Here is a 26,777-nt window from a genome sequence, read left to right on the forward strand (position 1 = left end):
TATGTATTTGTGAGTGTGTGTATGCATGTGCACATTGTAGAGTATATGCATACTCAAGTGCTAGCAAATTACTCTCTGTAATGGCTGCAAAAGTCTACTGTCTTCATCAATAGTATTGTCAAAAGAAAAACTTCAGCTGAATTAAATTTAAAGCAGTTTAATTGAGCAATGAACAATTCACGAATCGGGCAGCCCCCAGAATCACAGAAAATTCAGAGAGACTCCAGGGATGCCTTGTGGTCAGAAAAAAATATAGACAAGTAAGAGAAATGATGTACAGAAATCGGAAGTGAGTTTCAGAAACAGCTAGATTGGTTGCAGGTTGGCATTTGCCTTATTTGAACACAGTTTGAACACTTAGCAGCCTCTGAGTGGTTGAAATATGGCCTCTGGGATTGGCCTAGACTCAGTTACTGTTACAGGAGCATATTCCTAAGTTAGTTTTCAATCTTGTCTGCCTATTAAGCTAGGTTACAGTTCATCTACAAGGACTCAAATATAGAAGTAAGGTGTTTTTCTCAGGCCATATTTAGTTTGCTTTAACACCGTATAAGGCTTCTTACTTACCTACCTCCCTAACAATACTTGAAAAAAATTGGTTTTTCATTTTTACCTATCTAATGGGCCTAAAATGTTACTCTAGTGCTGTTTCAGTATCTTTATATTTTAATGAGTGTGTGAATCTTCTCATATACTTGTTATTTCAACTTACTTCTGGAAAATGTCCTTATAACATCTGAGTATTTTAAAAAATTGGAGAAGCTATCTTGTTATTATCCATTTGCAAGAATTCTTTATGTAGTTTATATTTTTTCTTACAGATATTAATGCTGCAAATAACATATATAAACCTGTCATCTACCAGTTTTATGTATGATGTTGAGTAGAAATCCTTACTTTTTACATAATCAAATTTACCAATTTTTCTCTTTATATTTTGTACTTCAGATTTTTATTTAAGGAGTTTTATCCAGCCCTCGTTCAGCAACATTTGTTTATACTATGTATTAATGTATAATTTTACCTTTCGTATTTAAATCAGTATTCTTTGAGGATCAAACTTCTTATAAAGGGTTTATGTAGAGAGGCAGTTTTATTTTTCTTCATATAGTAAGCCAGTTTGCTACTGAACAGCCAGAATAGTTGCACTGTGATTTTGTATGTACAATTTATTTGATACTTACTTCTCATGTAAACATGGTCTTGTTTGAGCTCTGTATTCTGTTCCATGATCTATTTCTCTGTTATTGTGTTAGTGAACAAAATTTTATTACTGTGGAATTATAGTATATTATATATCAGTAAGACAATTATTAATTTAGGATATTTTTATTGAATAAATTAGGTATTCTTGAAATGTTATTCTTTCTGTGAGTTTTAAAATAAGTTTACTGAGTTTTTAAAAAATGTTAAACTGGTATTTTGATTAGAATTGAATTGAATTTATAGATAAAACTGGGGGAAATTGTTATTTACAGCATTAAAGTATCCCATCATTAATACGGATTACAGTAACCCATCCAAGGGCATCAAATGTGCTTTCATTTATTTAGGAAGTCTTGTGAGACCCTTACAGGGAGCCAGCTGGCAAAGCAGAAATGTGGGTTGACAGGGTTCAGTCCTAGTGCCATAGAGCAGAGTACAGAAAAATGCCTCTGAAGCCAAGAGACGATGACTTAATGATTACTCAGATAGGAATTTACTGTTTCTTAAAAATTTGGTTGAATTTATTTAAATTAACTTGCCTAGAGATTTGGCGTAATTACGTATCTGCTCCCAAATTAGTTTAAGCAATGTTTTTGTTGTTACTGTTATTACTTTTTAGGGGGAGAGATTTGTGGATTTTTTGTAGTAAATAAGGTTGTTATGTATTTATTATCACAATTATAGGAATTTTCCAGAATTGATTAAGGATATTTTAGTTTTCTATGCTTGGAAACTGTTTTTGTGATGAGATTTATGCTGACACAAGGAAAATGACATATTTTTATGCTCACACAAGGAAAGTAACATTCTCTTTTACAATGTGATTTTTCTTCTTTCTCAGGCGTATATAATTATTCATTTTTCTATTAACTTATAAACTATTGCATTTACTTTAAATTTTGTCCTAATATTTACTGTGTTAAGTATATGTTAGATCCTTTAAGTATACTGACTTCTAACGTAAGCTTCTTGCCTGTGGGAACCATATTTAATTATGTGTAGCATTTAGCTTAATTCTGTGTCATTTTAATTTTTAACCACTTAGGAAAATAACATTTTCCTTGTGTAAGCATAAAACTTATGAAAAATCTAAACATTCATAAGTCATGAAGAAGAAAGAAAATTCATTGATAATCCCCTCTTTGAAAAATAATTACTCTTGTTTCAGGTTTTGAAGAGAACTTTCCTCAGCTTTGTGAGTGTGCTTCAATGCTATGAATACACACACACACACACACACACACACTTTATGTAACATAGGTTATATAATAAGAAATTATTATATAATTTTAGATGATATATATTATATACAACTTAATGTATTACATTATATAATATATGATATATTACTGTATGTTTTAAAAATTATTATAGTTTACTTTTTGTTTTATAATTAAATTTTTCATTTACTAGTATATTATGAATACTTTTCCAAGTCATTGAATGTCTTTTTCACGCTGAATTTTACTGACTGTATGATATTCTGTCATTTCACTTTGCCACAATTATTTTTCAAACTTTATTATCTCATGATAAAATTCTAGAAGCAGAATTACTAGATCAGTGTCTTAAATAACTTCTTAGAATGTTTACATATGTTGCCAAGTTTTTCATGATTGATTATCGTGTACCAATATCTTTTTCTAGAAATCCATTTTAACTGTTTTGGATTATTTTGTTTTAGTTGTTATCTTTTTAACAACATAGAATTGAGTAACAGTTGTGTGTGTGTGTGTGTGTGTGTTTTAATTATTGGAAGTTCCTTTGTTAAGCACTTCGATTGATTTTTGTGATCAAGTTTGGACACAGGAGACTGAGTGCTACCAAGTACTCTGATTAGTAAAGATGAACTTGATGTTCTTGAAGGAACTTTGGAAGGAGAATGGATCTGCAGCTAACATGTAGACGGCAGTTGGATTTTGTTTATTATAAGATCTGGGAGTCTTTATCTTTTAAAAGTGGATATTTAGCAATTATTGTTTGACAATTGACATGTATCCTTTGTCTTCTGTATCCTTTGTCTTCTGTTATGAGCTATTGTATACCTTTTATTTATATGCTTACTATTTTTTTCTCTTCTCTTTATGACTCATTCTGTAATATTTTCTGTAGTTTACAATGTAGTTTTTCTATTTTATCGGGTGTATATAATTATTTATTTTCTATTAACTTATAAACTATTACACTTAATTTTTGTTCTAATATTGACTGTGTTAGGTATATGTTAGATCATTTAAGTGTACTGACTTTGGATGTAAACTTCTTCCCTGTGGTAACCATATCTAATTATGTGTAGCTTTTAGCTTAGTTCTGTGTCCTTTTAATGTTTGACCACCTAGGAAATGTGTATTGCTTTGCTTATTGGATTTAACTGTAAACTTTAAATTGGATTTAAATTGTAAACTACCATAGAGAAAATGGTAAAAGCACACACACACACACACACACACACACATTCTATGTATTTTGAGAGTAGCTTCAAAAAATATTTCATAAATATTTTTTGATAAAATTCTCATTTCTGTCTCTTAAGAATATTGGATTAATTAGAAGTATATATGAGAATTAACATTTAATCATTTTTGTCAAGTACTTAGGTACTTACAATGAACCTAAGTACAAAAGTACCTAAGTACATTGGATCCATATAATGTATTTCAGAGCTGAAAGATTTATATTCCCAATGTGACCTTAAAACTCTGTGTGATGCATCATAAGGTTCTTTACTGCTATGCTAACAGCAATTTTAGTTTACTATTCTGTGCAATATAATGTGCAATATTCAGGGATAGATTTTTTCCTTGAAGTTTGCTAAGCGAATGACTATTAAGCATTGTTATTTAGTTAGCCTCAAATATTCTTTTTCTTTCTTTTCCTTAAGAAAAGATTAATGAAACTTTTTCTAAAGGTTGTTTGAAATAGTAGGGTAAGTTTATTATGCTGTCTTTGGCATATTACACAGTAGTGATTGCACCAAATCTACATAAATGCATATGGTTCTTTATAAGCAGTTTTACAGAAATAATATAGTAAATCTAAATTACACTCTGGGTAATTAATAATTTGTGAAATTAAAAAATAGAATGTAGAAGAAATTCTCAACCTGGTTCAGCAGTTTAAAACAACTCTTCTAACTTCTACTAATTTGATATACTAAGATAATTTTTAACAATTGGAAATCAGCACCATGGAATTATCATAAAAGAATAATACCTCCACTTTGAGAATTTTCCCATTATATATGTACTTACATGTTGTGTTTAAGAATCACTAAATAGAAATATGCTATACAAAATTAAATAATATAACCAATTGTAATTTTATTCAAGTCAGATTTTCATATCTGGCACCCTATAATTTCTACTGTTAAGTCAATTAATGCAGATAAACCTCATTTGAAGCCATTGGAATGGCCGATGATCGTGGATATAATTTCTCATGTAGGATTCTGATGTCAAGCAAGCTTTGACCTTCCAAGAACCATCCCTATACAACTGAAATCCTAAATAGAGCTATAATTTTAATTGAAATATGAAGGTCTAATATATTTTGAAAAACCAGGTCAAAACATATATCATTGTGAAGTGTTAAAGCAACATTAGTGGTCCAAAATATAACCTAATAAGGTATGTACAGAATCATAATCTTAACTTAAATGGTTCTCTGCAAATTTTATTTCCATGTTGCATATCTTTAATAAGAAATAACTCTTCTCCAGATTTCTGTGTGAAGATTGTGCTTCTGAACAAACCAACACTCCACCAAATATTTTCTTGTCATGGTCACTGATAAATTTTCTATTAAAAATCTAGTATACATTGAGTGGTTTTTATCTTAGTGGATCTTTCAGCATCATTTAATATGCTAAATACTTTCTCCTTCATTAATAATTTCCTATTGTAATGTGTACAGGACATCACACTCTCAGGAGATTTGTCTATCAATGTACATTAACATGTCCAGTTTGAATATTCATTTCATTTATTTCATATGTGATGTTTATAAGAATTATCAATTCAAAAGTTAATACACTTAAATATTATACCTTTTAGTTAAATAGAATGTTACTCAGAGTCAGGGCTATAGACTTTATTAGTAATTACAGCAAAGATAAGTGATTTTATTGAATCTGTAAATAGTCTCTTTTTATTAAAGTGCTTCTCCATTAAAGGATACTTCCTAAGCAGCCTGAATATTACTTCACCTGTTCAGTTCACTCTCTCTCCTGACACAGACACATAGTCTAAATACCGTTTTCCTCTTCTCTGCCTCTTCATACACACACACACACACACACACACACACAAACACACACACACACAGAGCGAGAGAGAGAGAGAGAAAGTGCCTCTTAGTTATAAACCTGAGTTTTCATCCTAACTTATAATTGTGTGCACTAGCATGATGTCCAGTGAGTCATGTGATGTTTGCAAGCTTCAGCTAAGTCATATGTTATGTTTCTGTTCACCTGAGTCATCCTGGTGTCTTTAAAATGCTATGGCTAGGTTAGGAGATTGCTAAAAGTTTACATATTTTCCATCTCATGTCATATATAGAATCATTACTTGAGCAGGAGTAGCTCTCCCATTAGTGGAAGCATTCACAGTTGTTTTAGTTATAATTTAAGCTTTCTTATTATTAATTTGTATATTTAACAACTATTAAGAACCAACTGCAATCCCTGTTGTGGGAACATCCTATGGGAGGCTTGTGTGGGAAGCTCTATGATGAAAAGACAACGTCCTTGTCCTAACAGAGCTTACGGTCTACGTAAATTTATCTTGATTCAAAGCCTTCATGTGGTCCAACATAACTTTTCACATACTTTTGGTGTTAATTCTTCTGTTTTCTTTGTAAACTCAGATGAGTCAATTCCCTCCTTTAAATCAGCTTCCTCATCCATAAATCAGGATAATATGCTTCATTCTCTATAACTTACAAGAATCAAATTAAATGTGGTTTGTGAGATTATTTTTCTGTGCTTGCTATATTTGGAGGTCCTATGTAACTAGCATAGTATTCATATATTGTTGAACATAAGACAGGGTAATTAAGATAAATATTTGCAATCCCTTTATTTAGAAATCCTATAAATCTTCAAAGATAATATTTGCAATATTTTATTTATCGTTAAGTAAGAATCTCAACTTCGTAAGCCATTTAAGGCCTTTTGGACATACAGAAGATGAACTGTTTAATAAATTTAATCTTCAGAATATGACAGTTTTATGGGATAATCTATTCCTTCTTAGTAGAAGTTATCTTTATTGCTATAATATTTTAATCTTGTTAATAGGACAAATCTACCAAAAGTAAAACATTTAATTGTAAAACTTAATTAGACTCAGCAGTTGTCTTCCAGATACACCACTGAATTCTTACCTTTGTTATTAAATATCTTTGTAGTGTTAATAAAAAAGTTTTAAGTTTGCCCAAAGTGAAATAGAAATGTATCTGCACATGATGCATTTTGCTTCTTGTTTTATTCTCCAAAGCTGGTTATCATTTAAATGCAGAGCCTTCACTTTTCTGCTGCAAAAACAGATTTATGTTATTAACTACATGCCTAGCAGCAGAATTCAGGGCACTAATTTTCTAAGTTTATGTCAGTATATTGATACAAAGTGACTAAGTAGTTCTGAGGAAAATGTAATATTAGAATAAGAAGACTTCTTTAACAAGCTTTACTTTGATACAGAATATTAGATACGTATGTTTAAAAATTAAGCCACTGCAGAATTACAGAATGAGATACCCGTGTACATTCAACAACCTTAGTTTATTTGGCTTATGCAAGGTAAGATGAAGAATGTTTGGAACAAATCACATATGGGCCATTTTGCAACTTTTCATTCTCAGCCATTCTGCATTCTTAATCTTAGAATGAAGTTGAAGATTTTATTTCCCTTTTTGGCTCTCTTTCCCATTTAAATTTAGTTGATTTGGAGGAATAATTAATTATTGGCATATACTACAAAACATTGAGAACATATTATACAAAAAACCTGGCTAGAAATTATAGATTTATTATGATTTTGTTGTTGTATATTGTTTTAATCTATCTTTAAATTGTCTTTTACTTTTGGGAAAAAATAATAATATGCTGTATCATTTGTGTATTAATCATCTACCAGTGTAATGCTAGCTAATTTAAAAACGCATTTAGTCTTTTGGATTCTATATCTTTCAAATGGTCACTTGTTATATTCTATTTTCCATGACTATTCCCCCTTTATATATTTACTATAAATACATTTTGAAGAAAAACAATAAAGAAAAATATTATCTCCAAGTATTTATGTCCTTTTTAGTCTATAACTGGGATCTGTTAGAAATTGAGGAGGAAATAAATTTATGCCTTAATAGTTTTAGTATTAGAGGATATGGTCTTACAGCATGTAATTAACAAAAATCAATACAGAAAAGGGAAGAGAGGAAAGAGATTTCAGAAACACACACACAAACACACACACACACACACACACACACACACACACACACGTATTTAGGAAGCACAGGTAAAGACGAAAATATGTTTCTCCAACAGTCCCAGTCTTCCGTGTTATTAGAATATTTCCTTTTCTGTTACCTACTGTCAGCATATTTAAGATTGGTTTTAACTGATATTTCATTTCCTTAAATCAGACCAGCCTTGCAGCTGTTTAAGGTCCTAAGGCATCTAGGGTGTGACTTCCCTCTCCCTTTTCTCTCTGGGATACATACGCAAGCACACTGGTCTGAAGGTAAATGCTCTTTTCTTTTGCTATGTTTTGAGTATTTTATCAGGACTTATCCTTGCCATTTGAAAATATAATTAGCTTTCCAATAGTCCGTTCTGTGCTAAGAAACAAACTATCTGCTCCTATTTTAAAATTTCAAAATTGATTTTGGAAATAAAAGTTTATATTTCTTTGAATTCTAAAGATTTTCAGAGGGAAGAAGATATAAATTTGAGAGATTTATGTAAGAACTTTGGATGTATGTGTCCATTTGCCAGCATATTATCTGAATATTCTTTGCCTAGAAAGGCTGTTTGATTGCCTTATTTTGTTCTCCAAGAAAAGAAAGCCATCTGATTCCTCAATGACTGCCAGTTGCTTTAAGAATTAATTTCCTTGTTCTGACTTTCTATACCCAAAAGGAATCTGGTTTTTTGGCCTAGTTTATTTAGCTTGCTATAGAAACAAAAATTCATATGTGGATGTAGAAGGGTTTTTAGAGAATCCTCAGGCATAAATATTAAATAGATTAATTATTACTCATAGCTATTCACATTTCCTATCACTTCTAACAAATATTCACTTCAGATGATACAGCCCCCAAACCACTAAGCTATATGCACACACTATTGGCAATTTTAATCCTGTACCATGTATATCCAGGAAGTAAAACTTCTTACCCTTTTTAAAACAAATATACATATAACTTATTCTTTAGCTGCGAAATGTTTAGATGTACGTAAGTTTGGTAATTGTAGCTATTACAGGTTTAAAATAATTCAATCTGTAATTATTATAAATATCTATATCATTATAAATAAATCTGTCATTAAATCTGTACTATTAAGAATCTCTATATTGCTGGGCACAGTGGCTCATGCCTATAATCCCAGCACTTTGGGAGGCTGAGGGGGGCGGATTGCCTGAGGGTTCAGGAGTTCGAGACCAGTTTGGCCAACATGGTGAAACCCTGTCTCTACTAAAAATACAAAAAAATTAGCCAGGCATGGTGGCATGTACCTGTAATCCCAGCTACTTGGGAGGCTGAGGCAGGGAAATTGCCTGAACCCGGGCGTGGGGGCTGCAGTGAGCCGAGATCATGCCACTGGTCTCCAGCCTGGGCGACAGAGCGAGACTCCATATCAAAAAAAAAAAAAAAAGAAAAAGAACCTCTATATTATATAATATATAATATGATAGATTCTGTATATTATATAATATATGATATAATAGATTCTGTATATTATATAATATATAATATAGTGTATACATAATAAATATACATATTATAACAGAATCTTTATTATATATAATATACTGTGTATATTTAATAAAATATATAAAATATGTTATTAATACAATAAATATATATAATAAAATTATATATTTGTAGTATGATTAATAATTATAAATAATATAATGAAATTGTATTTATAATATAAAGCTTTATTATACTTATAATTATAAATAATGTATTAAAATTGTATTACACTTATAATAATTACAAATAATATATTAAAATTATATTATTAATTATTGATATATTATTAAATTATTATTATAACATAAAATTTTAAAACCTGGCTTTTTGGCCTAGTTTATTTAGCTTGCTATGGAAATGAAAATTTATATGTTGATGGGGAAGGGTTTTTAGAGAACTCTGATATATAAGAATCTGTAAATTATATATGTCATTATAAATACTTTTGTTATTAAATCTGTACTAAGTTGGTCAGTTTGGTCAGGTGCTTGCTTTTACATAATAGGCACTGAACTAAAATATCCCAGTTCCTCTGTCTCTTTTTTTTTTTAATTTATGTTTTTTATGTAATATTTAAAATATCAATATATAAAATAACTCACCAATATAGAAAGTAGAAAAGAGCTCAGTAAAGCAAAAATCGAATTATACATGCTTCTACAGAATAGAATATCTTGCAAACTACATCTATTCTTATGTCCTGGATAAATAGAACAGAGAGACTCATTTTGTCTTATGTTCATTTTATGAATCCTTTTTTTTGGATCAAGGAATGACTATATGAGGAAATTTTGCCAGAGTCTCTTGTTCAATGAAAGCTTTTGGTTAAGCAAGAATCAGCTGTCCTTTGACAGGATGCCAGGAGGAATGTCTTAAGATCCATATAACAATTTATTCATTCTAAGACATACATGTTGAATACAGTGTGATAAAGTCAGTGTGGTCATAGGAGGAAATGAGAACAAGGCCCGGAAAGAAGTTTATTATACTCATAAGTCCCAGAGAGGGGGTCAGTGCATGCCATTCAGGGCCACACAGGAAGCACTATGTTTTGGTCAGGTGGTAGAAGACAGGAGTGAGGGGCAATCTAGGCTAGAGCCTTTACTAGGGTTTCTGAGGGAAAGACAGGGCGGAGCAAAGCAAACACTTTGGTGTTTGCTTAGTTTGAATAATTCCTGTGGAATTTGGGCAATAGGGGTGGTCTATAAGTACCAGATACCTGCCCTATGATCGATCATCTAGGGTAGGGGAAATATTGCCTTGATGTGTGAGAGTAACACATCATAAGGAAGAGTTTGGGGCTGTAGACTTGGGAGGGGCAGACTTGCATATGAAGCTCCAGGCCCAGCCCTTTGCTATATCTAATAATTGGCTAGCAATGAGAAGTGCAGTTTCTCCACCCATACCATCTCCTCTCAGCAAGCTTTTTAAGAGGTCTTAACGTCATAGAATACGTAAAATAAAGTTAGAAGACCTAGTTCTAATTCTAGTCCATGAAACACTGGGTAATTGATTTTATTCTTGGGTATTGGATTCCTTATTGTTATTATGAAAATAAAAATACCTGTCTTGCTTTATTGGACCAATGAAGACCAAATGAGTTAACATTTGTGAAAAAGTTTTGATGAATATAAGTTCAGTATATAAATAGTGGCCTTAAGGATCATTACATCCAAGGTAACCTTGTAGTACATGAAAGAAAGAATTCCTTGGAGTACAAATCATTCTTGCTTAACCAAAACTTCTCATTGAGCAGGACACTTAGTTACAAAACTTTTCCATCCATCTCTTTGTCATCCATCTGTCCACTCCTTGATCCAAAAAAGAGCTCACAAAATGACCATAGACAGAAGTTCCTTGTTCTACTCATATAGGTCATGAAAACAGAAATTATTTGCAAGATTTTCTTCCCTGCAGAAACATGTATTATTTAATTTGATTTATTTAACTCTTTTCTACATTATATATTAGTATTTTATTGTAAGTTCTACATAAAATTTTTCTTAAAAAGCATACATGTGATTGAGGAGTTGTAATGTTTTGTATTCATTACCTATTATATAAAAGCTAGCACCTGACAGAAGTGCAAAATTAATAGCAAAATTAATGACAGGTTTGATAATATACTTTATCCTGTAATTTGTACATTTACCAGGTTTATGCATGTCTAAGTATTTCACAGTTGGATAATAAGTTATATGTTTGTTTTAAATAGGGGTAGGAACTTTAAGTGGGACAGAACTAAAGTTGTCTAAAAGTGTATGCATATAGCTTAGTTTTATAAATTAATTTCTATTCACTTTCCTCCCTCTGGCTTATTGAATTTTATAATTCTTTATTGTTCAAGTCCAGTGCATGCTTCTTGTCTGAGCCTTCCAAACAACTCCAGTTCATGAGTGTTGCTGTCCTTTGAACACTTACTATATTTTACTATATAAACTATTAGATTGTTACACTTAAACCTGCACTAAAATGTTGTTAATTAACAATTAACATTTTAATTAATGCTTATTAACACATGATGTGTAGAGGTGACAAAGTACTTTATGACGTTAAAAAAAGGCTTTTAAAGTAAATGTTTACACTAACTACCTAATAATGAAGTAAAACATAGGTTTTTAACTCTCTTTGCTATTAAAAAATAATTCCAGTAATCTTACAGTCCAAATTGGATTTTAAAAAGAATTATGATCATCTTTAGACCCAGGAAGGGAAGCCTCTACTCCATGCTAGAGCTTTAGATGGTCTTGCCCGTTCACTCCTCTGGCTACATTACCCTTCATGAAGATATGACCTTGAGGGATAAGAAGATATGCCACTTAGATCTTATGGTTTATTTCTATACCATAGCACAGGTATTCAAGACCCTAGACTTTCTTGCTCAAATGGCCTTAAGTCTACTTTTAGGAGCTTCACAGATTCTTCCTGGGATTCATCCTCCAAAGGATGTACTGTGACACTGGTGTGCTCAGCCTAAGTTCACTGGAGGACTAAAGTTGGCAGCTTTTTGAAACAGGGAAAAGACACAGCTTGTGTATGAGATGCTCATATATGTGCATATGTGAAGTCTGTCAGGGTGTGAGATAGAGCTAGAGTCAGGTAAGGGCAAAGAAGTGGGATTAACTGAGGTTAAGAGCTGGCTCTCTATAGGCCACTACATGCTGCCTAGGGTCTTAGGAGTCCAAGTATTTTAAATATGAACCTGGATTGTCAGGTTGTTATGAAAGTATCTTTACAAAGTAGACTGGTACTGTATATTTTAAGTTTGGTCTAATTTAAAGAATGGAACTGCAGGCTATTATCTTAAATGAAACAACTGACACATAGAAAGACAAATACTGCATGTTCTCATTTATAAGTGGGAGCTAAATAATGTGCACACATAGATGTACACTGTGGAATGATAGACAATGGAGACTTGGAAAGGTGAAAGGGTAAAAGGGGGGTGGATGATGAGAAATTACTTAATGGTGCAATGTACATTATTCCGGTGATGAGTACACTAAAGCCCTGACTTCACCAATATGCAATATATTAGTGTAATAAAATTATACTTGTATTCTATACATTTATACAAGTAACAAAAGATTTATCATTTAAAAATATTAAGGCATGTGGTATGTGAGCTGCCATACTCATATTCTTGCCTTGGGACCCCTACTTTTTAGAGACCCTATTTAATTTAATACTTGAAATTATAACTAAAAGGTTAAAATTGACCCCTTGAACAGCATGGAGATTGACCTCTGTGTTATTGAAAATCCATGTATAACATTTGACTGTCCAGAAAAGTTAACTACTAATAGCCTACTGTTTATCAGAAGCCTTGTTGATAACATAAACAGTTGATTAACACATAGTTTCTATGTTATATATTACACATACTGTATTCTTACAGTAAAGTAAGCTAGAGAAAAGAAAATGTTATTAATCATAGCTGGGCATGCTGCCTCATGCCTGTAATCCCAGAAGTTTGAGAGGCCAAGGCAGGTGTATCACCTGAGCTCAGGAGTTTGAGACCAGCCTGGGCAACATGGCAAAATCCCATCTCTACCCAAAATACAAAAAATTAGCTGGGCATGGTGGTGCATGCCTGTAGTCCCAGCTACTTTGGAAGCTGAGGTGGAAGGATTTCTTGAGCCTGGGACATGGAGGTTGCAGTGACCAAAAATTGCGCCACTTTGCTCCAACCTGGGTAACAGAGTGAGACCCTATCTCAGAAAAAGAAAAGAAAATCATAAGGAAGAGAAAATATATTGACTATTCATTAAATGGAACTGGACGATCATGAAGTGGCCTTCATCCTTGTTGTCTTTATGTTGAGTAGGCTGAAGAGAAGGGTAAAGTGGAAGCATTGGTCTTGCTGTTTCAGAGGTGGCAGAGGCTGAAGAAAATTCATTGTAAGTGGACCTGCATAGCTTAAACCTGTGTTCAGGTTTCATCTTTATATATAAATGCAGTATTTCCAAAAGGAAAAGTATGCCTGAAATGTGATATAATTTTTATACCTACTAATGTTATATTTTATGGCAAATTCCATAGGCTTTTAGATCTATATCAATCTTGAATCTATCTTCTTGTTTTAGGGAATCAGATCCAAATTTGTATATCAATATATATTACTTTCTATATTCTTGAATAAGATGAAATTTACCAATTATGTCTGTTTTGAGTGTTTTGGTACCTAAGTCTAATTCTAATTTATTTTAAGTAGAAGAAGAAACATTATTTTTCATCAAACATCACAAACTCAGTGTAAAAAAAAATGCATCATTTTGTTATGTATCCTTATGCACTGTATTTGAGAAGAATAACATTTCCGATTACCTGTGTGTATTTTGTACTTCTATATTTCTTGGTTTATATCGGTTCTGATTAGAGAATACATATATTTTTTCACTTCAGACCCTTCTCTCATTCTGAACATCTCCGCAACTGAATGTATTTGTAAATAAGGAAATATTATAATTTCATAAATGATATTTTCAAACACTTCTTCATATTTGAGTTAAAGTTAATCTCATATTTTCAGAGAATTAATTTTTTGTTGAACATGGTTAATGCTTTTTGTTAATATGAAGTGATGAAGATACTAAAACAGAATTTACAGGGAATATAATTCTTTTTTTTTATACTTTAAAATTTCTAGGGTACATGTGCACAACGTGCAGGTTTGTTACATATGTATATATGTGCCATGTTTGTGTGCTGCACCCATTAACTCATCATTTACATTGGGTATATCTCCTAATGCTTTCTCTCTCCCCTCCCCCCACCCCACCACAGGCCCCGGTGTGTGATGTTCCCCTTCCTGTGTTATCATTGTTCAATTCCCACCTATGAGTGAGAACATGCGGTGTTTGGTTTTTTGTCCTTGCAATACTTTGCTGAGAATGATGGTTTCCAGCTTCATCCATGTCCCTACAAAGGACATGAACTCATCCTTTTTTGTGGCTGCATAGTATTCCATGGTGTATATGTGCCACATTTTCTTAATCCAGTCTATCATTGATGGACATTTGGGTTGGTTCTAAGTCTTTGCTATTGTGAATAGTGCCACAATAAACATATGTGTGCATGTGCCTTTATAGCAGCATGATTTATAATCCTTTGGGTATATACCCAGTAATGGGATGGCTGGGTTAAATGGTATTTCTATTTCTAGATCCTTGAGGGATCGCCACACTGTCTTCCACAATGGTTGAACTAGTTTACAGACCCACCAACAGTGTAAAAGTGTTCCTATTTCTCCACATCCTCTCCAGCACCTGTTGTTTCCTGACTTTTTAATGATTGCCATTCTAACTGGTGTGAGATGGTATCTCATTGTGGTTTTGATTTGCATTTCTCTGATGGCCAGTGATGATGAGCATTTTTTCATGTGCCTTTTGGCTGCATAAATATCTTCTTTTGAGAAGTGTCTGTTCATATCCTTCACCCACTTTTTGATGGGGTTGTTTGCTTTTTTCTTGTAAATTTGTTTGAGTTCATTGTAGATGCTTGATATTAGCCCTTTGTCAGATGAGTAGATTGCAAAAATGTTCTCCCATTCTGTAGGTTGCCTGTTCACTCTGATGGTGGTTTCTTTTGCTGTGCAGAAGCTCTTGAGTTTAATTAGATCCCATTTGTCAATTTTGGCTTTTGTGGCCATTGCTTTTGGTGTTTTAGACATGAAGTCCTTGCCCATGCCTATGTCCTGAACGGTATTACCTAGGTTTTCTTCTAGGGTTTTTATGGCTTTAGGTCAAACATTTAAGTCTTTAATCCATCTTGAATTGATTTTTGTATAAGGTGTAAGGAAGGGATCCAGTTTCAGCTTTCTACCTATGGCTAGCCAGTTTTCCCAGCACCATTTATTAAATAGGGAATCCTTTCCCCATTTCTTGTTTATGTCAGGTTTGTCAAAGATCAGATGGTTGTAGATGTGTGGTATTATTTCTGAGGGGTCTGTTCTGTTCCATTGGTCTATATCTCTGTTTTGGTACCAGTACCATGCTGTTTTGGTTACTGTAGCCTTGTAGTATAGTTTGAAGTCAGGTAGCATGATGCCTCCAGCTTTGTTCTTTTGGCTTAGGATTGTCTTGGCAATGCGGGCTCTTTTTTGGTTCCATATGAACTTTAAAGTAGTTTTTTCCAATTCTGTGAAGAAAGTCATTGGTAGCTTGATGGGGATGGCATTGAATCTATAAATTACCTTGGGCAGTATGGCCATTTTCATGATATTGATTCTTCCTACCCATGAGCATGGAATGTTCTTCCATTTCTTTGTATCCTGTTATTTCATTGAGCAGTGGTTTGTATTTCTTTTTGAAGAGGTTCTTCACATCCCTGGTAAGTTGGATTCCTAGGTATTTTATTCTCTTTGAAGCAATTGTGAATGAGAGTTCACTCATGATTTGGCTCTGTGTTTTTCTGTTATTGGTGTATAAGAATGCTTGTGATTTTTGCACATTGATTTTGTATCCTGAGACTTTGCTGAAGTTGCTTATCAGCTTAAGGAGATTTTGGGCTGAGACGATGGGGTTTTCTAAATATACAAGCATGTCATCTGCAAACAGGGACAATTTGACTTCCTCTTTTCCTAATTGAATACCCTTTATTTCTTTCTTCTGCCTAATTGCCCTGGCCAGAACTTCCAACACTATGTTGAATAGGAGTGGTGAGAGAGGGCGTCCCTGTCTTGTGCCAGTTTTCAAAGGGAATGCTTCCAGTTTTGCCCATTCAGTATGATATTGGCTATGGGTTTGTCATAAATAGCTCTTATTATTTTGAGATACGTCCCATCAGTACCTAATTTATTGAGAGTTTTTAGCATGAAGGGCTGTTGAATTTTGTCAAAGGCCTTTTCTGCATCTATTGAGATAATCATGTGGTTTTTGTCTTTGTTTCTGTTTATGTGCTGGATTTCATTTATTGATTTGTTTATGTTGAACCAGCCTTACATCCCAGGGATGAAGCCCACTTGATCATGGTGGATAAGCTTTTTGATGTGCTGCTAGATTTGTTTTGCCAGGATTTTATTGAGGATTTTTGCATCGATGTTCATCAGGGATATTGGTCTAAAATTCTCTTTTTTTTTTGTTGTGTCTCTGCGAGGCTTTAGTATCAAGATGATGCTCGCCTCATAAAATAAGTGAGGGAGGATTCTCTCTTTTTCTATTGATTGGAATAATTTCAGAAGGAATGGTACCAGCTCCTCCTTGTACCTCTGACAGAATTCTGCTGTGAATCCTTCTGGTCCTGGACTTTTTTTTGTTTCCTAGGCTATTAATTATTGCCTCAATTTCAGAGCTTGTTGTTGGTCCATTCAGAGATTCAACTTCTTCCTGGTTTAGTCTTGGTAGGGTGTATGTGTCAAGAAATTTATCCATTTCTTCTAGATTTTCTAGTTTATTTGCATAGAGGTGTTTATAGTATTCTCTGATGGTAGTTTGCATTTCTGTGGGATCAGTGGTGATATCCCCTTTATCATTTTTTATTACATCTATTTGATTCTTCTCTCTTTTCTTCTTTATTAGTCCTGCTAGCGGTCTATCAATTTTGTTGATCTTTTCAAAAAACCATCCACTGGACTCATTGAGTTTTTGAAGGGTTTTTTGTGTCTCTATCTCCTTCAGTTCTTCTCTAATCTTAGTTATTTCTTGCCTTCTGCTAGCTTTTGAATGTGTTTGCTCTTGCTTTTCTAGTTCTTTTAATTGTGATGTTAGGGTGTCAATTTTAGATCTTTCCTGCTTTCTCTTGTGGGTATTTAGTGCTATAAATTTCCCTCTGCACACTGCTTTGAATGTGTCCCAGAGATTCTGGTATGTTGTGTCTTTGTTCTTGTTGGTTTCAAAGAACATCTTTATTTCTGCCTTCATTTTGTTATGTACTCAGTAGTCATTCAGGAGCAGGTTGTTGAGTTTCCATGTAGTTGAGTGGTTTTGAGTGAGTTTCTTAATCCTGAGTTCTAGTTTGATTGCACTGTGGTCTGAGAGACAGTTTGTTATAATTTCTGTTCTTTTACATTTGCTGAGGAGTGCTTTACTTCCAACTATGTGGTCAATTTTGGAATAAGTGTGATGTGGTGCTGAGAAGAATGTATATTCTGTTGATTTGGGATGGAGAGTTCTGTAGATGTCTATTAGGTCCGCTTGGTGCAGAGCTGAGTTCAATTCCTGGATATCCTTGTTAACTTTCTGTCTCATTGATCTGTCTAATGTTGACAGTGGGGTGTTAAAGTCTCCCATTATTGTTGTGTGGGGTCTAAGTATCTTTGTAGATCTCAAAGGACTTGCTTTATGAATCTGTGTGCTTCTGTATTGAATGCATATATATTTAAGACAGTTAGCTCTTCTTGTTGAATTGATCCCTTTACCATTATGTAATGGCCTTCTTTGTGTCTTTTGATCTTTGTTTGTTTAAAGTCTGTTTTATCAGAGACTAGGATTGCAACCCCTGCCTTTTTTTGTTTTCCATTTGCTTGGTAGATCTTCCTCCATCCTTTTATTTTGAGCCTATGTGTGTCTCTGCATATGTGATGGGTTTCCTGAATACAGCACACTGATGGGTCTTGACTTTATCCAATTTTCCAGTCTGTGTCTTTTAATTGGAGCATTTAGCCCATTTACATTTAAGGTTAATATTGTTATGTGTGAATTTGATCCTGTCATTATGATGTTAACTGGTTATTTTGCTCGTTAGTTGATGCAGTTTCTTCCTAGCCTCGATGGTCTTTACAATCTGGCATGTTTTTGCAGTGGCTGGTACCGGTTGTTCCTTTCTATGTTTAGTGCTTCCTTCAGGAGCTCTTGTAGGGCAGGCCTGCTGGTGACAAAAACTAGCAGCATTTGTTTGTCTGTAAAGTATTTTATTTCTCCTTCACTTATGAAGCTTAGTTTGGCTGGATATGAAATTCTGGGTTGTAAATTCTTTTCTTTTAGAATGTTGAATATTGGCCCCCACTCTCTTCTGGCTTGTAGAGTTTCTGCGGAGAGATCAGCTGTTAGTCTGATGGGTTTCCCTTTGTGGGTAATGTGACCTTTCTCTCTGGCTGCCCTTAACATTTTTTCCTCCATTTCAACTTTGGTGAATCTGACAATTATGTGTCTTGGAGTTGCTCTTCTCGAGGAATATCTTTGTGGCATTCTCTGTATTTCCTGAATTTGAATGTTGGCCTGCCTTGCTAGGTTGGGGAGGTTCTTCTGGATAATGTCCTGCAGAGTGTTTTCCAACTTGGTTCCATTCTCCCCATCACTTTCAGGTACACCAATCAGATGTAGATTTTGTCTTTTCACATAGTCCCATATTTCTTGGAGGCTTTGTTCATTTCTTTTTATTCTGTTTTCTCTAAACTTCTCTTCTGACTTCTTTTCATTCATTTGATCTTCAATCACTGATACCCTTTTTTCCAGTTGATTGAATCAGCTACTGAAGCTTGTGAATTCATCACATAGTTCTCATGCCATGGTTTTCCACTCCATCAGGTCATTCAAGGACTTCTCTGCACTGGTTATTCTAGTTAGCCATTCATTTCATCTGTTTTCAAGGTTTTTAGCTTCTTTGCGATGGGTTCTAACTTCCTTCTTTAGCTCGGAGAAGTTTGATTATCTGAAGCCTTCTTCTCTCAACTCGTCAACGTCATTCTCCGTCCAGCTTTTTTCCGTTGCTGGCGAGGAACTGCATTCCTTTGGAGGGGGAGAGGTGCTCTGGTTTTTAGAATTTTCAGCTTTTCTCCTCTGTTTTTTTCCCATCTTTGTGGTTTTATCTACCTTTGGTCTTTGATGATGGTGACGTGCAGATGGGGTTTTGGTGTGGATGTCCTTTCTGTTTGTTAGTTTTCCTTCTAACAGTCAGGACCCTCAGCTGCAGGTCTGTTGGAGTTTGCTGGAGGTCCACTCCAGACCCTGTTTGCCTGGGTATCTGCAGTGGAGGCTGCAGAACACCGAATATTGCTGAACAGCAAATGTTGCTGCCTGATTGTTCCTCTGGAAGCTTCATCTCTGAGGGGTACCTGGCCGTGTGAGGTGTCAGTCTGCCCCTACTGGGGGGTGCCTCCCAGTTAGGCTACTTGGGGGTGTGGGACCCACTTGAGGAGGCAGTCTGTCCATTCTCAGATCTCAAAATCCATGCTGGGAGAACCACTGCTCTCTTCAAAGCTGTCAGACAGGGACATTTAAGTCTGCAGAGGTTTCTGCTGTCTTTTGTTTGTCTATGCCCTGCCCCCAGAGGTGGCGTCTACAGAGGCAGGCAGGCCTCCTTGAGCTGGGGTGTGCTCTACCCAGTTCCAGCTTCCCCACTGCTTTGTTTACCTACTCAAGCCTCAGCAATGGTGGGCGTCCCTCCCCCAGCCCTGCTGCCTTGCAGTTTGATCTCAGACTGCTGTGCTAGCAATGAGCAAGGCTCCGTGGGCATGGCACCCTCTAAGCCAGGTGTGGGATATAATCTCCTGGTGTGCCATTTGCTAAAACTGTTGGAAAAGCACAGTATTAGGGTGGGAGTGACCCAATTTTCCAGATGCCATCTGTCACAGCTTTGCTTGGCTATGAAAGGGAATTCCCTGACCCCTTGCGCTTCCTGGGTGAGGCGATGCTTCGCCCTGCTTTGGCTCACACTCAGTGGGCTGCACCCACTGTCCTGCCCCCACTGTCTGACGAGCCCCATTGAGATGAACCCGGTACCTCAGTTGGAAATGTAGAAATCACCCGTCTTCTGTGTCGCTCATGCTAGGAGCTGTAGACTGGAGCTGTTCCTATTCAGCCATCTTGGAAACACCCCCCGGAATATAATTCTTTACTCCTATATGGGAGAGTAAAGGATGTAGTATAGACATTAATAATAATGTATATGCATTCCCTGAGAAGTGAAATCAATTGTAATTATAAATATATTCAAAATAAAAATCATCATTGGATGAGTACTTTAGATTCTTTCCTATGAGTAAAATACCTAGATTTTTAGACATTGATTTTGACAGTTTAAAATTATATCATATTTTTTACTATTATCTTGGTTCACAGTTATATTTAGAATGATTATATTGTGGTTCCAATGAGCTGTGATAGTGCTGGTTTGCCTTTAAGTGTCCTCAGAGTAACATAAGACCCATTATACATTAGGATGAAAGGCATTTAGATGGGAAATATCATGTATATTCCCATGAGATTTTTGAATCACCCCTGGTAAAAAATGTGTGTATTTTGTAAAATTAAATATACAATTCAAAGGAACTCATTGTTTTCTCTGGAAAATGCCCTCTGGATTTCAAGCAAGAAATTTGCAGAAAATATTTTTTGGATAAAGATTGTGTTAAGTTTGCATGATGGATAATATAAATTATTCTGGAAATTTACTGTAGATAATTAAAAGTACTTTGTGTCATAATAGTGCTGTATACTGAGGAAAATAGGCATTCTGTTAGAAACTATACTATACTAGTGAAACTCAACCAGCCTTGATTTAGTAACTCTCTATAGCCAGTTAAAATAAGAAACTGCAAACAGAATGTGTTAAATAATCTTATTATAAATAACTGAAGTATGTTATCAACCAATAGAACCCTTATTCACTATAGCAAACCATTTGTTGTTTTCAGTATACTCTAATAGAAATGATAAACTATGATGCCTAGCATGTTTTCCCAAAAATGCCATAAGGTTACCTGAATGTTTTTCTTGTATTGAAAATGATCAGTTATAGCTATACAAATAAAATGGAGTTATAATCTAAATTTACAGTATAGAAGTATGCAATATTAAATGAATAAATATTGATAATATAAACTGCTTTCAGGGTACCCAAATATTTTTATTAAATCCCTTAAAAATGGACAAAGTCTTTCTATGCAATCAAGTGGCAAACTGCTTGTACATAAACATACAGAAGTGAAAATAATCCAGTGATCTAGCTCAGAGTAAAAGCCAAAGGGCTTAAAATGCTTAATAAAGACTTTTGGTTTGGCTGCTCTCTGACTGTCTGTTCTTATTACCTAATGTGCTTTCAGTGCCCACTTATGCTCTTCCTCAAATATACCTGTACAGTCTTGCCTCAGGTTATTTGTATTTACTGCTTCCTCTTTGCAAGTTTCACTATCTCATCTCTAAGGCAATGCGTAAATGTCACTACCTCAGTAAGGCCTTTTCTAGCCACCCACTTAAAATTATAACCCTCTTCTTAATCTCCTTGACCTGTTTTTCCCCATTGTACTTTCTACCATATTATTTAGTTTTATTCATTTCTACTTTTTAATTGTCTCTCTTCCCTCCAAAGTAAGCTTTATAAAGGCAGAGAGTTTTTGTTCAGCTTGTTAACTGCTGTATTTCCAGTGTCCAGGGTATGGGAATGCCTGATAAATATTTATCGAATAAGCCTAAGGCCTTATCCATGTCTGTTTGCTATTGAAGTAGTCATATAAATATTTAATTGACTATTGGCAAAGAAAACACACCACAATTTGTGGCAAATTGGATATAAGGAAAGATGGGAAACCCTAAGTGCGTTTTTTATATATTTAGTTGTTCTGATAAGATAATGGATGCTATTTAATGTTCTTATAGTATGCCAGGAACTATCTGAAGTGCTGTACATGTATTTATCTAATTTACACCTTACAACAACCCTGTGAAACAGGTACTATTATCAGCTCCTTTACAGTTGAGGAAACTAGTGATCAAATAAAGTTGTCATGCAATTAATGTGTAGGAAGGCAAGACAGGACAGCTGATTCTAGAACCTGTACTTTTAACTAAAGGCTCATGGTTAAAATGCTGTTCCATTGATACTTTGAGTAGCTTCATTTGTATCCTTTTAATTCATTTTTATTTTGGTAAAACAAAAAAAATTGTAAGTAATCATTTCTGTTTAATCACTGTGGTTTAAAATCACTTAATTACTTTTTTCCCTTTTTGCAGTGGGATGCCATCACTGAAATGGATGAACATAATAGGCCCATTCACACATACCAGGTATGTAATGTAATGGAACCAAACCAAAACAACTGGCTTCGTACAAACTGGATCTCCCGTGATGCAGCTCAGAAAATTTATGTGGAAATGAAATTCACACTAAGGGATTGTAACAGCATCCCATGGGTCTTGGGGACTTGCAAAGAAACATTTAATCTGTTTTATATGGAATCAGATGAGTCCCACGGAATTAAATTCAAGCCAAACCAGTATACAAAGATCGACACAATTGCTGCTGATGAGAGTTTTACCCAGATGGATTTGGGTGATCGCATCCTCAAACTCAACACTGAAATTCGTGAGGTGGGGCCTATAGAAAGGAAAGGATTTTATCTGGCTTTTCAAGACATTGGGGCGTGCATTGCCCTGGTTTCAGTCCGTGTTTTCTACAAGAAATGCCCCTTCACTGTTCGTAACTTGGCCATGTTTCCTGATACCATTCCAAGGGTTGATTCCTCCTCTTTGGTTGAAGTACGGGGTTCTTGTGTGAAGAGTGCTGAAGAGCGTGACACTCCTAAACTGTATTGTGGAGCTGATGGAGATTGGCTGGTTCCTCTTGGAAGGTGCATCTGCAGTACAGGATATGAAGAAATTGAGGGTTCTTGCCATGGTAAGAAACAAACATTTAAATAATTTATCTTGCATTTAAATGATTTTAAAAAAGTTTTATTTTTTAAATTAACAAATAGTAATTGTGCATATTCATGGGTGTGTAGTAATGTTTTGATACATATAATGTATACTGATCAGATCAAAGTAGTTAATATATCCATCATCTCAAACACTGATCTTTTCAAAATGACGATTTATTAAAAGTAAATATTATACATTTATTTCAAATAATACATTTTTGAGTGGTATACTTGATAATTAATTGTGAAAGCAATTGATTCATATTAACCATAAGAAAATTTCTGTCATTTTTCTCCTGGGAAAGGTGTATGAAATTGTGCCAAAGTGCTTTCAGTAAAGTCGTTAAACAATATGAATTGCTGTATCCGCCTAATTTTTATAAAGGAAAGCAGCATCAACAACAGCAACAAAAAGCAATGAGATTCAAAATAGTGATTTCCCTGGTGTTCACATTTTTACAGTTTATAGAAATATGACATTTAAAGACAGCAATAATTATTTCTATCATATTGAATTATAATACTTGAATTGTACTTAAATAGAATTATATTTAAATAAATGAGGGATTCATGTATATTTTATTTCAAAAATGTATAAGCTAGTTTATATGGGTGTTATGTATGATGTTTGGTGGTTGAATATTGACCTGATCAGAGCTTAATTAATCTTTTGCTATTATTACATAGAATTTTTCACCATATAACACATTAGCTTTTCATTTTAATAGTAGTATTTATGTGACATCTAATTGTCAGGAAATGTTAACATCGCAAAATGCTAGTTAAGTTTAGAACTATACCTTTCACATTGTTTTAACAATGAAATACCTATAATTTTCGTGATGAAACATTTTTCACTTTTTATGTAATTCATTTTATGAAGGCTTATTTACCTAATAAGTATATACATTCAAAAATTTTATATACCCCCTAATAAAGAGCATACGTTTGATTATAATTAGATTTAGGACTCATAATCAAAACACAAATATAGAAAAAAAATTATTTCATGGTAAATAGTAATATACCGGAGATATTTCCCTCTCAATGATAACTTCTTAAGAGGGTGTTTTCTACAGCACCAGCTTGAGTTTATTGATTTCTTTGTTGATGTTATATTCACATTCATTAAAAAGGATGAGAATAAATAAGAAAAACATCTGTATGCATATAATGGTCATGGATAATATATGTGAAGTTTTAAAGGTTTTTTCTGTTTATAAAACACTTGGGTTCTTGACTCTTTAGAAGTTCGCTCAAGCTGCCAGTGATGATTATGTTTTGTAACTGGAGAATACTAATATTTGCATGAGAAGTCGGTAGTATATATTTTACAAAGCATGAATCAGCTTTCCTGTGCTTTTAATCATTAAAGTATGTTTCATTCAAGTTTAGTAATATAGGTTATCAATATAGTTTATCAAAATTTTTATTCACTTATAACAAGGATTTATAATGGAGAAAAACCATAAATTATCCTGGAGTTAGGATCTAAAGATATTTTACATTGGAAAGTGCATGTATTAGTTTGTTCTCATACTGCTATAAGAACTTCCTGAGACTGGGTAATTTATGAAGGAAAGAGTTTTAAATGGCTCACACTTCCACAGGCTTAACAGGAAGCACTACTGGAACACCTCAGGAAACTTACAATCATGGCAGAAGGCGAAGGGGAAGCATGTATGCCTTACCCTGGCAGCAGAGGAGAGAGAGAGTGAAAGGGGAAAGTGCCACACACTTTCAAACAACCAGATCTCATGAGAACTCACTATCATGAGAACAGCAAAAAGGAAGTCCACCCCCATGATTCAATCACTTCCCACCAGGCCCCTCCTCCAGAATTTCAAGATGAGATTTGGGTGGGGACATAGACACACCATATCAGTGCACTAAAGAAAAATTTATACATATGAATAATTATCCAGTTAAGTGGAGAAGACAATAAGATCTAAGGATAAAATGTATTACACAGAGTAACCATGTAGTGTTTTTGGTACAGACATGTAATATGTGTAATAATCACATCAGTTTTACCATATTTTAAATTAGGTAGAAAGCCATTACTTGGTAAAAAAAATACAGTTTTTTAAATATTTGAAGAATTATTTAATCTAAGAATTTATGTGATTTGCTATTACTAAATATTTGTATTTCTTTATGGCATTTACCACAGAATTAAAGTAACCAACCGTGATGTCTAGATTTTTTTTTACTTAATATGCTTGCTGTGAAATTTTATTCTTATTTATATGCCTGCAAATTTCTTCTATGATTTGGCAAAGATAGTTTTGGACAAATGATAAGCAGCATCTGTTTATCTAGAGCTTCTACTTGTGTGTTTTTATGGCTTGTTATCTTTATTATCCTTTATCTGATTGCAGAAACATGAGGGAGTCAGTACAGAACAATTGTTCATCACCTTGTAGTGGATGGCAGAAATTGGAAGATTTAAGTTTGAATTCTATATCTATGGCTTACAAACCTCAAAATCAGGTGTTTTTTTTAAATTTATAAAGTAGTGGTTATAATCACCTAAAGATGAAATACATGTAAAACTATTAACAACAAGCAAACATGCCTGATTCTAATTAAATATAATGAATTGCTATTTATAAACAAAAGAAATGTCAGAGTGGATGTGGAGACTACATTATTTTAAAGATATATATAGTGCACTACCACCAGTGTTCATTTTAGAGTACTTACTTTTATGTGTGTTCTTGATGTTGTGTGTTGCCCCTTTCTTTCCTCTGATGAGAATTTTATCATTGCTTTTATTGCCATCTATTCATAACTTTTCTCACAAAAAAAATCTCTGAATTACATATAATCAAAAGGTCAAACTAATTCAAACTTATATGAAAAAACTGTAGTACAAGTAGAAAAGTGACCACATATATAATAGGAAAAGAAAAAATGAGTATATCACTATTTTTCTTCTTGTCTATTCTGTGTAAACAATTAATTAATCTACAGTATTGATTTTTTTTTAGAGACAGGGTCTTATTCTGTCACCCAGGCTGGAGTGCACTGGTGCGACCATAGCTCATTCCAATCTTGAACTCCTAGGTTCAAGCGATCCTCCTGCCTTAGCCTCCCAAAGTGCTGTGATTGCAGGGGTGAGCCACTGCTTCCAGCCCCAAACTATTGATATTTTTGAGCATTTACTATTTCTTAATCACTTTCTTAAGTGGTAGAGATAAACATAAATAAGGCATATGTTTCTGTTATTCATTGCTATGAGACAAAACAGCCCAAAATGTATTGGCTTAAAACCACAATGATTTATTATTTTTCAGGGCTCAGCTAGTAGTTCTGCTTAATGTACAATAAACAGCCATCACTTATGTAGCTGAATTCCACTGGGAGCTTGACTTGAGTTGGAATGTCCAAGATAGCCCCTCATCTTCCAGGGCCTTTCTCTATGTGGCCTCTCATCATTTAGTATCTATCCCAAGCTTTCCTGGAGCGTAGTTGCTGGCTTAAGAGGGAGTTTATTCACATAACCATCTGTAAA

At 34.1% G+C, this 26,777-nt stretch overlaps 1 protein-coding gene across 15 annotated transcripts in view; it reads left to right on the plus strand.

Annotated features, from left to right (window-relative positions):
* Nucleotides 1-26,777, plus strand: part of EPHA6 (EPH receptor A6) — a 946,939-nt gene that overhangs the window by 150,162 nt on the left and 770,000 nt on the right. For 12 of the 15 annotated variants that reach the window (XR_001740110.2, XR_924126.3, XM_017006211.2 and 9 more), the window contains one exon: nucleotides 22,575-23,238. The exons of 1 other annotated variant lie outside the window; for it this stretch is intronic. Coding sequence is in view for 12 of the 14 variants with exons in the window: in XM_017006211.2 (XP_016861700.1) it covers nucleotides 22,575-23,238 (664 nt within the window). In the remaining 2 variants the exon portion in view is untranslated. Of the gene's footprint in view, nucleotides 1-7,480; nucleotides 7,950-13,513; nucleotides 13,587-22,574; nucleotides 23,239-25,641; nucleotides 26,303-26,777 lie in introns of those variants that run through there. 2 more of the 15 variants (XM_017006213.2, XM_011512707.3) reach the window with 2 other exon arrangements.

This window comes from Homo sapiens, chromosome 3 (assembly GCF_000001405.40).
Source record: "Homo sapiens chromosome 3, GRCh38.p14 Primary Assembly".
Classification (NCBI taxonomy): Eukaryota; Metazoa; Chordata; class Mammalia; order Primates; family Hominidae; genus Homo; species Homo sapiens.